Source organism: Homo sapiens, chromosome X (genome assembly GCF_000001405.40).
Source record: "Homo sapiens chromosome X, GRCh38.p14 Primary Assembly".
NCBI lineage: Eukaryota > Metazoa > Chordata > Mammalia > Primates > Hominidae > Homo > Homo sapiens.
Genome location: NC_000023.11, coordinates 155,979,326 through 155,996,753, shown reverse-complemented (window position 1 = coordinate 155,996,753; position 17,428 = coordinate 155,979,326). Strand labels below are relative to the sequence as shown.

The 17,428-nt window shown below is 42.8% G+C and overlaps 1 pseudogene; it reads left to right on the top strand.

The window, feature by feature from the left end:
* Window positions 10,503-11,400, top strand: TRPC6P1 (TRPC6 pseudogene 1; annotated as a pseudogene).

Here is a 17,428-nt window from a genome sequence, read left to right as displayed (position 1 = left end):
GCTGGAGTGCAGTGGTGCGATCTAGGCTCACTGCAACCTCGGCCTCCCGGGTTCAGATGATTCTCCTGCCTCAGCTCCTGAGTAGCTGGGATTACAGCCACCTGCCACCAAGCCCAGCTAATTTCTTTGTATTTTTAGTAGAGATGGGGTTTCACCGTGTTGACTGGGCTGGTCTTGAACTCCTAACCTCAAGTGATCCGCCCACCTAAGCCTCCCTAAGTGCTGGGATTACAGGTGTGAGCCACCACGCCCAGCCAGACACTTCTTAAGCTGAAACAAATACCTATTTCTTAAAGACTCCTGCTGTGCTGCCACTTTGCAGCCTTCTTGTTCCCCTATGGTGTTGCACCATCTTTCTAGGTCAGCATATAAAACCTACCTCATACCTTTAATGGTAGTATGCACCATGGTTTAATAATCCCTGCAATGTCTAGGCCCAGTGCCTCACACCTGTAATCCAAGAACTTTGGGAAGCAGAGACCGGAGGATCTCTTGAGGATCACAGGAGGTCAAGATTAGTCTGGGCAACAGAGTGACACCCTGCCTCTAAAAGAAAAACAATAATAATCATAATTTCTGCAATGAACATTTGGATTGTTGCCTGTATATGCTATTTTATTTATTTTTATTTTCATTTCTTTAGACACAGAGTCTTGCTCTGTCGCCCAGGCTGGGCTGGAGTGCAGTGACATGATCATAGCTCGCTGCAGCCTCAGACTCCTGGGTTCAAGCATATATGCTATTTTAAGTGAATTTCGTGAATAATTCTGGGCATGGATCTTCAAACAACAGAGTGAGTCCTACTGTAGGATAAATTGCTAGGGGTAGAATTGTGGGGTCTTAGGGTTAGCATTTTAAAATATTGATAGATGCTGAGATATGGCCCTACATAAAAAGTGTTGCACAGACTTTTGCTCTCACCAACAATGTAAGAATGCCTGTAACCTTCACCAACAGTAAACATTATCAGTCTTTTTCATCTTTGCCAATCTGATAGGCTAAGATATTTCAATGTGGTTCTAATTTGTACTTCCTTGAGTATTAGTCAAGATAAGCATCTTTTCATGTATTTATTACTTGTGTGTTCTTTGGGGTTGAATTTTAATCAGCTTGGCTCCAGTCTTACCTGCTACAAGCATATACTGTTCTACTCACTGGAGCCATCCCTGCACTAGTGTCCTTACCAAGACAGCTTCTTTCTGTCAGTGTGCCTTCTATCTTGCTGAAGCCAGAATTTACTAACTCAAGACCAGCAGACCACACTACCCATATCATAACCTCAGAAGCAGAGACCACAAGGGCTGGATAGGGAGAAAGGAAATTCTCAAAAGAAAAACCAGAGAAGAGAGCCCCAAATTCTACATCTAAATTCTACCCAAATCTCTGGATGACCCTTGAACTATACATCTGCCAGCTAACTCCAAGGAGCCCAGCTAAGGTTAAATAACCTGAACAGAAGTTTCAGCTGTTCACCTCAGGACACAGAGTTTTCTGCCTGCTAAAATAACAAACAAACAAAAACAAAATTAAAAAAAATTTTTAAACACCCTCCAGAGAAATATAACAGAACACACAGTCTCAACAATGTATACCATTCACAATTTCTAAGATAAAAACAAATTTATCAAACACATGAAGAAAGAGTACTATGTCACCCATGCTTAAGAGAAAAGATAATCAATGAAGATTGACTTCCAGGAATAAGTTGTTGGAAATAGCAAAGGTTTTAAAGCAGATACTCTTACTATGCTCAAATATATAAAGGAAAATATGCTCCCAATGAATACATAGGAAATCTCAGAGGAGAAATAGAAACTATACAAAAGAACCAAGGCCAGGTGTGGTTCTATACAAAAGAATCAAGGCCGAGGCAGATGGATCCCTTGAGGTCAGGAGTTTGAGACCAGCCTGACCAACATGGTGAAACCCTGTCTCTACTAAAAATACACAGATTAGCTGGGCATGGTGGTGCACATTTGTAATCCCAGCTACCTGGGAGGCTGAGGCAGGAGAATCACTTGAACCCGGGAGGCAGAGGTTGCAGCGAGCCAAGATCATGCCACTGCACTCCAACCTGCTGACACAGAAAGACTCTGTCTCAAAAAAAAAAAAAAAAAAAAGAAAGAAAGAAAGAAAAAAGAAAGAAAAGAAAATATATAAGCAAAAAGTGCATCTTAAATAAAAGGAATAGGCCAGGCATGATGGCTCATGCCTGTAATAACACCACTTTGGGAGGCTGAGGTGGGTGGATTGTTTGAGCCCAGGAGTTCAAGACCACCCTGGGCAACATGGTGAAATCCCGTTTCTACAAAAAAAAAAATACAAAAATTAGCTGGGCATCGTGGTATGCACCTGTAGTCCCAGTAGGAGGCTGAGGTAGGAGGATTACCTGAGCCCGGGGAGATTGAGGCCGCAGTAAGCCATGATCAGGCTACTGCACTCCAACCTGGGCAACAGAGTGAGACCCTGTCTCAAATATGGAATAAATTATAACAATGCATACAAGAAGAAGGAACATTAACCTCTCTGAGCCTCAGTTTCCTTATCTGCAAGATGGATACAGAGAGGACTTGTTATATGTTAAACTACATAAATTGTCACAGCCCTATGAGGTAGAACAGAGGTCAGCAAATGACACGGGCCAAATCCAGCCTAATTTTTAAAACCTGTGAGCTAAGAATGGTTTATACATTTGTATGGATCCAGCATGCTTACACTGGTTTATACTTTTTTTTTTTTTGAGACAGGCTGGAATGCAGTGATGCAATCATAGCTCACTGCAGCCTCAAACACCTGGGCTCAAGCGATCCTCCTGCCTCAGCCTCCTGAATAGCTGGGACTACAGGTGTCCACCACCACACCTGGCTAATTTTTTGCTTTTATTTTAGAGAATGGGTCTTACTGTGTTGCCCAGGCTGGTCTTGAACTCCTAGCCTCAAGTGATCCTCCTGCCTTGGCCTCCCAAAGTGCTGGAATTACAGGCATGAGCCACCATGCTTGGCCATCTTAACCATTTTTAAGTGTACAGTTCAGTGATATTAACATATTAAGTACTATTATATTGTTGTGCAACCATCACCACCACCCATCTCCACAATCCTTTTCATCTTGCAAAACTGGAACTTTGTACCCTTAACCAACAACTCTCCATTCCCTCCTCCCCTCAACTTGACAACCACCTGTTAACCACCATTCTACTTTCTGTCTATGCTAGGTACCTCATATAAGTGGACTTATATAGTATTAATTTTTTTTCCAAAGTTTTTTTTTTTTTTTTTTTTTGAGACAGAGTCTCTCTCTGTCGCCCAAGCTGGAGTACAGTGGCACGATCATGGCTTACTGCAACCTCCACCTCCCAGGTCCAAGTGATTCTTGTGCCTCAGCCTCCCGAGTGGCTGGGATTACAGGCGTTCGCCACCACACCTGGCTAATTTTTGTGTTTTTAGTAGAAACAGGGTTTCATCATGTTGGCCAGGCTGGTCTTGAACTCCTGGACTCAAGAGACCTGCCCGCCTCAGTCCCCCAAAGTGCTGGGATTCCAGGTGTGAGCCACCGCACTCGGCCTATACAGTATTAATCTTTCTGTGATTGGATTATTTATATATGGCCACTCCTGATCTCTTCTGGTTACTATCTGCATGACATGTCTTTCCCTATCCTTTTACTTTCATCCTATTTGTGTCTTTAGATCTAAAGTGAGACTCTTGTAGACAGTGTATACTTGGATCATTTTTAAATGTTATTTCTGTATTTATTTTTTGAGACAGGTCTTGCTCTGTTGCTCAGGCTGGAATGCAGTGGTGCAATCACAGCTCACTGACATCCTGGGCTCAAGTGATCCTCCCACCTCAACCTTCTAAGTAGCTGGGACCATAAGTGGGCACCACCACACCTGGCTATTTTTTCTTTTTGTATGTTTTGTAGGGACAGGGTTTTGCCACATTGCCCAGGCTTGGATCATTTCTTTAAGTGGTACATTGACAAATTATAATTGTATATGTTTATGGAGTACAATGTTATATTAGAATTTAGGAATATAAGGTGAAGTGCTTAAATCAAAGTAGTTAACATATCCATCACCTCATATACTTTTTCTTTGTTGTGAGAACATTTACTCTTAGCAATTTTGAAATGTGCAATAAATTACATTTATGGCTGGGCAGGAAGCTCACGCCTGTAATCCCAACACTTTGGGAGACCAAGGTGGGAGGACTACTTGAGGTGAGAAGTTCAAGGCCAGCCTGGTCAACACAGCAAAACCCCATCTCTTACAAAGTTAAAAATTAAAAAACAGTCAGGTGCGGTGCCTATAGTCCTAGTTAGTCAAGAGGCTGAGGTGGGAGGATCACTTGAGCTCATGAGTTCAACGTTACAGTAAGCTGTAATTGTGTCATTGTACTCCATCCTAAGCAAAATAATGAGACCTTGTTGCAAAAAAGGCAAAAAAAAAAAAGCAACCAAAACCCTACATTCACCATGCGACCATGCTGTGCAATAAATTTCAAGTAAAACACTTTATTCCTCCCATCTGAAACTATACTCTTTGACCAATATCTTCCCCATTCCACCACCCACCTGGATCATGTTTTTTTAATCCATTCTGCCAATCTCTATCTTTCGATTGGAGAGTTTATCCACTTACATTCAAAATAATTACTGATAAGGAGAGACTCACTTATGTGATTTTGCCATGTGTTTTCTATATGCCCTATGGCTTTTTTTTGTGGTCCCTTATATCCTGCATTACTGTCTTCTTTTGTGTTTAGTTGATTTTTTTTTACAGTGAAACATCTAAATTCTCTTCTCATTTCATTTTGTGGATATTCTATAGCTAAGCTATTTTCTTTGTGGCTACCATGGGATTACATTTAACCTCCTAATATTAAGACACTCCAATTTGAATTTCTATCACTTAACTTCAATAACATACAAAAACCAGGCCAGGAACAGTGGCTCATGCCTGTGAGAACTTTGGGAGCCTGAGGCAAGATGATCACTTGAGCCCAGGAGTTTTTCGACCAGCCTGGGCAATATGGTGAAACCCCGTCTCTACTAAAAAATACAAATATTATCCAGGTGTGGTGGCATTCACCTCTAATCCCAGCTACTCAGGAGGCTGAGGCATGAGAATCTTTTAAACCAGGGAGGTAGAGTTTGCAGTGAGCCAAGATTGCGCCATGGCACTCCAGTCTGGGTGACGGAGTGAGACTCCATCACAAAAAAAAAAAAAAAAAAACAATCAGCCAGGCATGATGATGCACGCCCGTAGTCCCAGCTATTCGGGAGGCTGAGGTGGGAGTATCAGCTAAGCCCGAGAGGTTCAGGTTGCGATGAGCCGTTATTGCATCACTGTACTCCAGCCTGGGTGACGGAGTGAGACCCTGTCTCCGAAAAAAAAAAAAAAAAAAACAACTATGCCCCTGTACAGTTCCATCCCCACTCCTTTTCAGTTACTGATGTTACAAAATTACATATTTATACATTGTATGTCCAGAAATATAAACTAATAATTTTAAATTCATTAATCTCTTACATTATGTAGAAGACAAAATGTGAAGTTACAAATCACTTACAGTAATACTAGCTTTTACACTAATACTCATTATCATGTATTAGGCTCTTAAATCAAGTAAAATAACAAAAAATAGAATTACAACCCAAAGTTAATAGTAGCTTTTATAACTGCTCTTGTATTTACCTTTACTAAGATCTTTATTTCTGGCCAGGTGAGGTGGTTCACGCCTGTAATCCCAGCACTTCGGGAGGCCGAGGTGGGAGGATCACCTGAGGTCAGGAGTTCAAGACCAGCCTGGCCAACATGGCGAAACACCGTCTCCACTAAAAATCAAAAAATTAGCTGGGTGCAGTGGCGCTACTAGAGAGGCTGAGACAGGAGAATTGCTTGAACCCGGGAGGTGGAAGTTGTGGTAAGCCGAAATCGCACCATTGCACTCCAGTCTGGGCAACAGAGCAAGACTCTGTCTCAAAAAAAAATTTATTTCCTCTTATGGCTTCAAATTACTGCCTAGTGTCCCTTCATTTCAACCTGAAGGACTCCTTTTGGCATTTTTTGCAGGGCAGACCTAGTCGTAATGAAATCTCTCAGCTTTTGTTTCTGTGGGCATGTCTTAATTTCTCCCTCACCTTTTAAGTACAGGAGTCTTGGTTGACAGCTATTTTCTTCCACTGCTTTAAATATATGAGCCCACTACCTTCTGTTCCCCAAAATTTATGATTAGAAATCTGCTGATAGCCAGGTGCAGTGGCTCACACCTGTAATCCCAGAAATTTGGGAGGCCAAGGCAGGTGGATCATGTGAGGTCAGGAGTTCGAGACCAGCATGGCCAACAAGGTGAAACCCGTCTCTACTAAAAATACAAAAAAAAAAAATTAGCCTGGCGTGGTGGTGTGCACCTATAATCTCAGCTACTCAGGAGGCTGGGGCAGGAGAATTGCTTAAACCCAGGAGGTTGAGGTTGCAGTGAGCCCAGATCGCACCACTGCACGCCAGCCTGGGTGACAGAGCTAGACTCAATATCAAAACAAACAAACAAAACCTAAAACTCCATCTCTACAAAATAAAAAAATGAAAAAATAATAATTAGCCATTTGTGGTGGCAAGTCCACTTTCACTGAACACTCTGTAACCCATGCCTTGGAAACAATAATCTCAACTCTTCACATTCCACTGGTTGTGGACACAATTTTGGATTCAACATCAGAGGCACCATATCCCAAGTTACGGGTGAGTTCTCCTTCCCATTAGGTTTGAGTTGACCACTCAAACAAGGGCACACCTGGCCTGGTCATCCAGGCAAGGGCAAGTCATTCCTACTCGCCCTTGGGTTGCAGTCTTAAAAAGTGACCCCATTTTAACCCACAAACTCCCAAAAAGAAGTGTATACTTTTTTTTTGCATTCAGAGGTCCCACATGTTGAGGTCTTTTTGGCTTTATCCCCAAATCCCCAAATAAAAATTATCATACATGCTTCCAAGGAACTTCCTCTCCCCCTGATTCTGATGTCTTAGACGATCCTTCCTTTTGCATACCACACTCTCCTCAGCCTGCTCCTGCTTCACCTACAACCTCTCCATCTGCTCCATCCCCTAATCAACCCTTCCCATAACCAGATACTTTATCCCCCTCACATACTCACTCGGGAGTCACATATGCAACTCTAAGATTCCTCCAAAAATCCCAAAAATGTTTTGCCTGTCCACAAGATGGCAAATAGAGATTTGGGAACAATTTGAGTTCATGTCCCTTTTCCAATGTCTGATCTTTCACAAATTCAACCCACATTGGATTCATTTTGCCAGGATCCCTCTAAGTTCACTCAAGAACTCCTTTGATTTAACCTGACAAGACATATTCGTGCCATTCCCACAAAGAAAAATCACACATATGGTCTTTAGCTCAAGCGTAGACAAATAAAGTTCATGCTCATAATCCTAATGATAAAAGGGTTGAGGCAGAAGCTGTCCTCAACAGAGAACCCAATTGGCAATAACAAACGTTATCTCATCTGCCGATGAGATTATATAATAACGTGCTTGATGGAAGGAATGAAAAAGGCTGTGATAAAACCTGTTAATTTTTCTAAGTTACAAGAAATCACTCAGGAACCATCTGAGAACTCCACCCTTTTCCAAGCTGGACTGGTGGAGGCAATGCATAAATATACAAATTCACACCCTGAAAGCCCTAAGGGCCAATCCATTCTGGCTGTACAGCTTATACGTCAGGCTTCCCCAGACATCAGACAAAAACTCCAAAAATTAGAGCAAGGCACTCACATTCCCTTCCCTACTTTACTAAATACAGCCTTTAAGGTTTTCAATGACTGGGAGGCAACCTCAAAAATAAAAAAAGGCTCAATTGGAGGAGGAAAAATGCCATTGCCAAGCGAATTACATGGCAATGGCATTGATACATTATTTTTCGTTAGCTAATAAACCCAAGACTCATCCCTATAATACTAACAGAATGGGGGCCTATCATCGCTGCAGGAATCCAGGACACTAGAGTAGAGAATATCCCAAACCTCCAAATTACAAGCTACCCCCAGGACCCTGTCCTCATTGCAAACAAGAGGATCATTAGAAGAGTAAGTGTCCCTCTCTCTCTCAGGAGAGGGCCACCTCTTCCTTCTAGGCTGTTACAGCCACAACCTCACCAACCTATCTGACAGGGGTGTCATGCAGGACAAGGATGAGGGCAAGGGCAAGGACAAGCACCTCTAACTCTATTCCTGGATTATGATCAAGCCTCTGAAAGTCATCCTCTAGATGATTGATGGGACATTGAGGCCTTCCAGGCTCCTATCTTTTCCATCTGTATGGATGAGCCTCAGGCAAATCTGATTGAGACTGAACCAGAGGTAACGTTCATTATAGATATGGGGGCCAGTTATTCAGCTTTAAATGTTTATTAAGGCCCAATGTGCTAGTCCTTCATTTTCCTCACGGGTATTGCATTAGTCCATTTTCACACTGCTATAAAGAACTACCTGAGGCTGGGTAATTTATAAAGAAAAGAGGTTTAATTGATGCACAGTTCCACACGGCTGGGGAGGCCTCAGGAAACTTACAATCATGATGGAAGGTGAAGGGGAAACCAGGCACATCTTACATGGTGGCAGGAGAAAGAGCAAATCAGGAAGTGCCACACTTTTAAACTATTAGATCTCAGGAGAACTCACTATCACAAGAACAACATGGAGGAAATCTGCCCCCATGATCCAATCACCTCCCACCAGATCCCTCCCTGACACATGGGGATTACAATTTGACATGAGATTTGGGTGGGGACAGAGGCAAATAATATCATTCTTCCCTGGCCTCTTCCAAATTTCATGTCCTTCTCACATTTCAAATCTAATCATGCCTTCCCAATAGTCCCCTAAAGTCTTAATTCATTTCAGCATTAACTCAAAAATCCACAGTACAAAGTCTCATCTGAGACAAAGTAAGTCCCTTTTACCTATGAGCCTCTAAAATAAAAAACAAGTTTGTTACTTCAAGATACAATGGGAGTACAGGCATTGGGTATATGTTCCCATTCCAAATGGGAGAAATTGGCCAAAACAACGGGGCTACAGGCCCCATGTAAGTCTGAAACCCAGCAGGGCAATGATTAAATCTTAAAGCTTCACAATGATCTCTTGTGACTCCATGTCTCACATCCAGGCCACACTGATGCAAGGGATGGGCTCCCAAGGCCTTGGGCAGCTCTGCCTCTGAGGTTCTGCAAGGTACAGCCCCCACAGCTGCTTTCATGGGCTGGTGTTGACTGCTTGCAGCTTTTCCAGGTGCATGGTGCAAGCCATCAGTAGATCTACCATTCTGAGGTCTGGATAATGGTGGCCCTCTTTTCACAGCTCCACCAGGCAGTGCACCACTGGGGACTCTGTGTGGGGATTCCAATCCCACATTTCCCCTCTGCACTGCTCTAGTAGAGGTTCTCACACTGCTCTAGTAGAGGTTCTCCATGAGGGCTCTGCCTGTTGGGAGAAGCTGAGGGTTGGGAGAGAAGCTGAGGCAGGGCTTGCATGTCTGACATAATGTAACAGAGTCTTGGAACATTTCCAGGGTCCAAGGTCTAAAACCCCTCGTGGCCTTTGGAACACCAAGCTCTGTGGTAAAGGGTAGAAGGCTACCCTGATGCACCATAATCTAAGCCCAGGGCATAAAACCCCTCGTGGCTTGGATAGAATCCAGGGCTCAGGGCACAAAACCCCCCAGGGGCCTCTGGAATGTGCCTAGACTTGCTGGCTCCTTGCTCCTTGCTCTCCCAGGATTGATTGTATCTTGAGTTAAAAGAACCTGCTCTCCATTATCTCAAGTAGCAGAGCATATGCTAAACCATCACAGCTGTAAATCTTGTGCTTAATGCAATGCGCCCTTTCAACCCCACATTCTCACCACCTGTTTCTTTGATCACCAATAAATAGTCTGGGCTTCCAGAGCTCGGGGCCTTCACAGCCTCCATACTTAGCGATGGCCCCCTGAACTCACTTTCTTTCTCAAACTGTCTTTTCTCATTCCTTTGACTCCACCAGACTTCATCGCTCCCATGACCTGGTGTTGGGTCCGATCACCCCAACATTCCTGGCTGCCCAACGTGAGGCAACAAAGATCCCGGTGAAGGAACACTAGAGCGTGTGAAAGCGGAGGATGCATTGTCAAAGGACACCCGAGGATAACTGAAAGAAGCTCGGTGGGAAAGCTTAGCACTCGGAAGAACCAGGTTAACAATGATGGGACAAAGTGAAAGCAAACATTCTGCTTACTTGAATTTCTTAAGGCACTTATTACGAAGAGGGTGAGGCATGGGGTAAGACCAGGGGAATCTGAGGCTTGTTTATTCAGAGGGCCCCATTTAGAGAAACAGAAGACAAAGTGAGGACTTAGAAGGAGCCTGGGCAAGTAAAGTCATCTTGAAGCTTCAGTTTCATGGTTAACCTTCCTCTGCTAGAGAAAAACAGATTTAATGAGCGCAGAGGCATGATATGGGCTGAATGTAAAGAAATTTGGACTCAAGGCCCCAAGGAATATTTGTTTGAGTTGTGGAACATGCTTGATTTTGGTATGTTAGCAATTTTATCAGCATCATTCATTGCAAGATTCAGGGCATTCTGGCATGCTTCCAAAGCCCAGAGCATCACTGATGCAAGTGATACTTTGAAGGACTTGACAAAAGTAACATTGGGAGATAATGTGAAATACTACAGTTTGGCCAGGAGGGAGTGGGACCCCTCGGATCCTCGTATGGTGTCTGAAGGTCTTTGTGCAGTTGCTGTGGTTTTGAGTTTCTCTGGGATAGCTTGTATTTTGCCAGCAAATGAAAGCTTTGGACCTCTGCAGACGTCGCTTGGAGGAGCAGTCAAAGACATCTTCAGGTTCATGCTCATATTCATTATGGTGTTTGTGGCCTTTATGATTGGAATGTTCAACCTCTACTCCTACTACATTGATGTAAAACAAAATGAAGCCTTCACAACAGTTGAAGAGAGTTTTAAGACACTGTTCTGGGCTACATTTGTGCTTTCTGCAGTGAAATCAGTGGTCATCAACTATAGCCACAAATTCATTGAAAACATTGGTTATGTTCTTTATGGAGTCTATGATGTTACAATGGTCATTGTTTTGCTAAATATGTTAATTGCAATGATCAACAGTTCACTCCAGGAAATTGAGGATGACGCTGATGTGGAGTGGAAATTTGCAAGGGCCAAACTCTGGTTTTCCTGCTTTGGGGAGGGGGAGAGCACTTCCTGTTCCTTTCAATCTGGTGCCGGGTCCAGAGTCCCTGTTTTATCTCTTGCTGAAGCTTAAAGGGTGGATTTCTGAGCTCTATCCAGGGTCATAAAAAAGGTTTCCAGGAAGAGATAGAGCTAAGTAAGTAGAGCTAAGTAAGTAGAGCTAAGTAAGTACAGCTAAGTAGGGAAAGACAGGAACTTGCAGGAACTAACAGGTACCATAGGGACAGACAGGGACAGATAGAGATAGATGAAGGCTAGCAATATAAGGTCAGTGCCCTAAAGAGGTACTGATCAGTGCCCTAAAGAGGTACAAAAGTAAAGACTAGTAATATAAGGTCAGTGCCCTAAAGAGGTACTGGTCTGTGCCCTAAAGAGGTACAAAAGCAAAGACTAGCAATATAAGGTCAGTGCCCTAAAGAGGTACTGGTCAGTGCCTTAAAGAGGTACAAAAGTAGAGAGTAGTGAAGACTAGCAGAGATTTGCAGGGACAGACAGGAACATTCTGAATTATGGAAATTAGCTATGGCTCAAAGTCCAATCAAAATCTGAGAGGGCAAATATAAAAGGAATAGAGAGGAGGAGGCAAGGAAGGATAAAAATGCTCTTTCTTTTCTCTCCGACAGGACCTTTTGGATTCAAGGTTGTGCTAGCAATAGGAAATGTTACTCTTGATATAAATACACGTTTTATTACATGCTCTGAATGTTGCTTGTTTACCTGCATTAATTCAACCTTTGATAAAAATCAAATTATCTTGATAATTAAAGCCAGGGAAGGAGTTTGGTTCCCTGTGTCACTAAATAGACCATGGGAGACATCACCCTCTATTTATATTGTAACTGAGATCCTTAAAAACTCTTATCCCATTCCAAAAGATTTACAGTTGAAGGCCATTGGAGGCTCTACATTTGTGGATTTTGTTCTGGTGGTTGTGTGCTTGTGCTGTCTCCTTTTAGTCTGCAGATGTGGAAGCTGCCTCTGAAGAGGAAGCCACCTCTGAAGAGAAAGCTGCCACCAAGAACAAGCAATGAGAGCTGTGGCGGTTTTACAAAAAAGAAAAGGGGGGCATGTTGGGAGAAGCTGAGTGTTGGGAGAAACAGAGGCAGGGCTTGCAAGTCTGAAATGATGTAAAAGAGTCTTGGAACATGTCCAAGGTCCAGGGTCTAAAACCCCTCATGGCCTTTGGAACACCAAGCTCTGTGCTAAAAGGTGGAAGGCTACCCTGATGCACCATAATCTAAGCCCAGGGCATAAAACCCCTCATGGCTTGGATAGAATCCAGGGCTCAGAGCACAAAACCCCTCATGGCTTGGATAGAATCCAGGGCTCAGAGCATAAAACCCCTCATGGTCTCTGAAATGTGTCTAGACTTGCTGGCTCCTTGCTCCTTGCTCTCCCAGGATTGATTGTATCTTGAGTTAAAAGAACCTGCTCTCCATTATCTCAAGTAGCAGAGCATATTCTAAACCATTACAGCTGTAAATCTTGTGCTTAATGCAATGCGCCCTTTCAACCCCACATTCTCACCACCTGTTTCTTTGATCACCAATAAATAGTCTGGGCTTCCAGAGCTCAGGGCCTTCACAGCCTCCATACTCACATTGGCCCCCTGGACCCAGTTTCTCTCTCTAACTGTCTTTTCTCATTCCTTTGACTCCACCAGACTTCGTCACCCCCATGACCTGGTGTTGGGTCTGATCACCCCAACATCTGCCCCTGCAGCAGATTTATGCCTGGACGTCCAGGTGTTTCCATATATCCTCTGAAATCTAGGTGGAGGCTTCCAAGCCTTAACTCTTGCCTTCTGCATACCTGCATGCCCAATACCATGTGGAAGCCACCAAGACTTGGGGCTTTCACCTCTGAAGCAATGGCCTAAGCTGTACCTTGGTCCGTTTTAGCCACAGCTGAAGCTGGAGCAGCTGGGATGCAGGGTACCATGCCTCAAAGCTGCACAGACCAGCAGGGCCCTAGGCCCAACCCATGGAACCATTTTTTCTTCCTCGGCCTCTGGGCCTGTGATGGGATGGGCTGCCACAAATATCTCTGAAATGTCCTGAAGACTTTTTTCCCATTGTGTTGGCTATTGGCATTTGGCTCCTTGTTACTTATGCAAATTTCCACAGCCAGCTTGAATTTCTCCCCAGAAAATGGCTTTTTATTTATTTATTTATTTTTAGATGGAGTCGTGCTCTGTCACCCAGGCTGGAGTGCAGTGGCACAATCTCAGCTCACTGCAACCTCTGCCTCCCAGGTTCAAGCAGTTCTCCTGCCTTAGCTTCCCGAGTAGCTGGGATTACAGGCGTGTACCACATGCCCAGCTAATTTTTGTATTTTTAGTAGAAACAGGGTTTCACAATGTTGGTCAGGCTGGTCTTGAACTCCTGACCTCAAATGATCCACCTGCCTCGGCCTCCCAAAGTGCTGGGATTACAGGTGTGAGCCACCATGCCTGGCTGGCTTTTTCTTTTGTACCACATGCTCAGGCTGCAAATTTTCCAAACTTTTATGCTCTGCTTCCCTTTTAAACATAAGTTCCCATTTCAGACCATCTCTTTGTGAATGCATATGACTGTATGCCATTGGTAGCAGCCAGGCAACATCTTGAATGCTTTGCTGCTTAGAAATTTCTTCCACCAGATACCCTAAATCATGTCTCTCAAGTTGAAAGCTCCATGGATCCCTTAGAGCAGGGGCATAATGCTGCCAGTCTTCTTGCTAAAGCATAGCAAGAATGACCTTTGCTCCAGTTCTCAATAAGTTTGTCATCTCCATCTGAGACCACGTCAGCCTGAACTTCACTGTCCATATCACTATCAGCATTTTGGTCAAAACCATTCAACAAGTCTCTAAAGTTCCAAACATTCCCACATCTTACTGTACTCTTCTCAGCCCTCTAAACTGTTCCAACCTCTGCCTGTTACCCAGTCCCAAAGTCACTTCCACATTTTCTGGTATCTTTATAGCAGTGCCCCACTTTCCTGGTACCAAATTTCTGTATTAGTTCATTTTCATGCTGCTATAAGGAACTACCTGAGGCTGGGTAATTTATAAAGAAAAGAGGCTTAATTGGCTCACAGTTGTGCATGGCTGGGGAAATCTCAGGAAACTTACAATTATGGCAGAAGGCATCTTACATGGTGGCAGGAGAGAGACAGAGTGAACAGGGAAGTGCCACACTTTTAAGCCATCAGATCTCATGAGAACTTATTATCATGAGAAAAACATGGGGGAAATCCACCCCCATGATCCAATCACCTCACTAGGTCCCTCCCCTGACATGTGGGGATTACAATTGGACATGAGATTTGGGTGGGGACACAGAGACTAAACTATATCAGGTATTGATGGAAAACCCCAACGAGGCTGTTTCACACCACCAGTCTCTTGTAAAAGGGAAGGTTATGTCTTTAGCCACTCCTTTTTAGTCATGCCAAGCTCTCCTGTTCCATTATTAGGTCATGACTTACTCACAAAATTACAAGACAATTTATAGCTAAGGCCCCACTTTCTAACTGTATGAACTCACACTTCACTAAAAGAGCTGCTACAGTCTATAGAACCTCACATTCTAAAACAAGTGCCGTTTGAGGTCTGGAATACTTCTATTTCTGGCCATTCAATATCAGCTGCTCCCATCATCATTCAGCTTAAAAATCCCAGTAAGTTCCCAAGAACCGCCAATACCCCTTGAAACCAGAAGCCCAAAAAGTGTTAAAGCCCCTAATAACAAAATGTTTAACCCATGGATTATTGTGCCCTTGCAACTTGCATTGCAGCACTCCCATTTTTGCTGCAAAAAAACCAGATGGCTCCTACCAGCTAGTACAGGACCTTAGAATTATTAATGAAGCTGTTATTCCTATTCATCCTATTGTCACAAACCCTTAGTCTCTTTTGGACAAATTTCCTCCACTGCAGCTTGGTTTACTGTACTTGATCTTAAGGATGCCTTTTTCTGCATTCCGTACACAAGATAGCCAATTTTTGTTTGCTTTTGAATAGCAAGACCTAGATACTCAAATAACTTAATAGTTAACTTGCACTATTCTGTCCTAGGAATTCAGAGATAGCCTCCACTGTTTTGGACAGGACTTAGCTAAAGACCTGTCCACCCTGCAGCTTCTCCCAGATAGCAATCTACTCCAGTATGTGGGTGACCTGCTAATCTGTAGTCCTAACAAGGCTGTTTTAGAGCAAAATACAGTACGAGTACTGAATAAAATTGCTGATTGTGGATATGAAGTATCTCCTTCTAAGGAACAAATATGCACATAAAGGGTTCAATTTGGGGGTATTTTAACCCCTGGTACAGAGAGCCTCTCTAGCACTTGTAAAGATCTTATTTTACACATGACAACTCCAGTAAATAAATAACAGCTTGAGTCCTTTTTGGGTAGGGCCAAGTTTTGCAGAATATGGATTCTTTCTTTCAGATTAATTGTAAAACCTTTATATGAAGCCCTTAGGGGTTCTTATAACCCTAACCCTAACCCTAACTCTAATACCTAACCAAATCCCAACCCTAAACCCTGTAAACCCAGAAAATCTGAGACAGGTCTCAGTTAATTTAGAAATTTTATTTTGCCAAGGTAGAGGATGCAGGCCCCTGACACAGCCTCAGAAAGTCCTGATGACATGTGCTGAAGGTGGTCAGGGCACAGCTTGGTTTTATACATTTTAGGGAGACAAGAGACATCATTCAATATATGTAGGAAGTACAGTGGTTCCGTCTGGAAAGGCAGGGACAACTTGAAGCAGGGAGGGGCTTCTAGGTCACAGGTAGGTGAGAGAAAAATGGTTGCATTCTGTTGAGTTTCTGATAAGCCTTTCCAAAGGAGACAATCAGAATATTCATCTACCTCAGTTAGCAGAGGGATGACTTTGAAAAGAATGGGAGGCAGGTTTGTCCTGAGCAGTTCCGAGCTTGACTTATCCCTTAGCTTAGTAATTTTGGGGCCCAAGATATTTTCCTTTCACAACCCTGACCCCTAACTTTAACCCTAACCCTAACCCTAACCATAATCTCTAATTCTAACCCTCACCCTAAGCCTAATCTTTGCTCTGACATTCTAACTCCTTAACCCTAATCCCCAACGTCTATCCTACACTTAACCTTAGCCCATAATCCTTCAAAAATTCTGGGTTTTTTTTTTTTTTTTGGTATAACCTCTAACCCTCTAACTGCTAACCACTAATACCCTAAATAGTACACCAAGCCATACCTTTTTCTAACCCCAATCGAGTACTGACTCAAACATATGATATCACCAGGACAAAAAAACTAAATGTTAATAAAACTCATAATGATAGACTTAATAATGTTTAACCAAATCATAGTAAGTGGAATTTGGTACATAGCGAAAACATTATACACCACAATGAAGAGGTCTTTTTTTTTTTTTTTTTTTTTTTTTCAGAAAATCAAAGGTTTTTCAACATACTAAAGCCATTCCTTTTCCGTATACTATATAATTAAAATGATGGGAAAAACACGTTTATCTCAACTGTTACAGAAAGTACTTAAAGATAATCAACGTATTTAATGATAAAAACCACCAATAAGCTGAAGATTCGAATTTTCTTCACATGATAAAACACCTTTATGCAAAACCCATAACAATCACCACCTGAATTGTTGGCACCCAAAGCTTTAAGATCAGGAACACAGCACTGATGCTCACTTTCATCATTGTGTTCAACACTGTACTAGAAGTTCCATCCAGAACAATTAGAAAAAAAAAAAAAAAATATATATATATACAAAGTCATTCATATGTGAAAGAAAAAAGTAAAACTACCTACTCACAGATCCCATGATCTCATACACAGAAAATCATAAGGAACCAACAAGAAATTGTTAAAACTAGTAAAGAAATTAAGCAAAGTTACAGGACAAAATATTAATACACAAAAATATATTTCTGTATACTAGCAATAAACGATATGAAAATGAAATTAAGACAACAATTTCATTTCTGAAAACTAACAGGCTGGAATACCTCCAACTGCCCTGGAACACACAGGGCAGGCAGCTTGGGGTGGGGGACGGCCTTGGAATAGGGGCTGTGGTGCTACATGGGGACTTGGCTGCAGTGGCTGCAGGGCTGACAAGAAACAACTGAAGTTCCTAGAGAATCAAAGTAGAATTCCTTAAGAACATA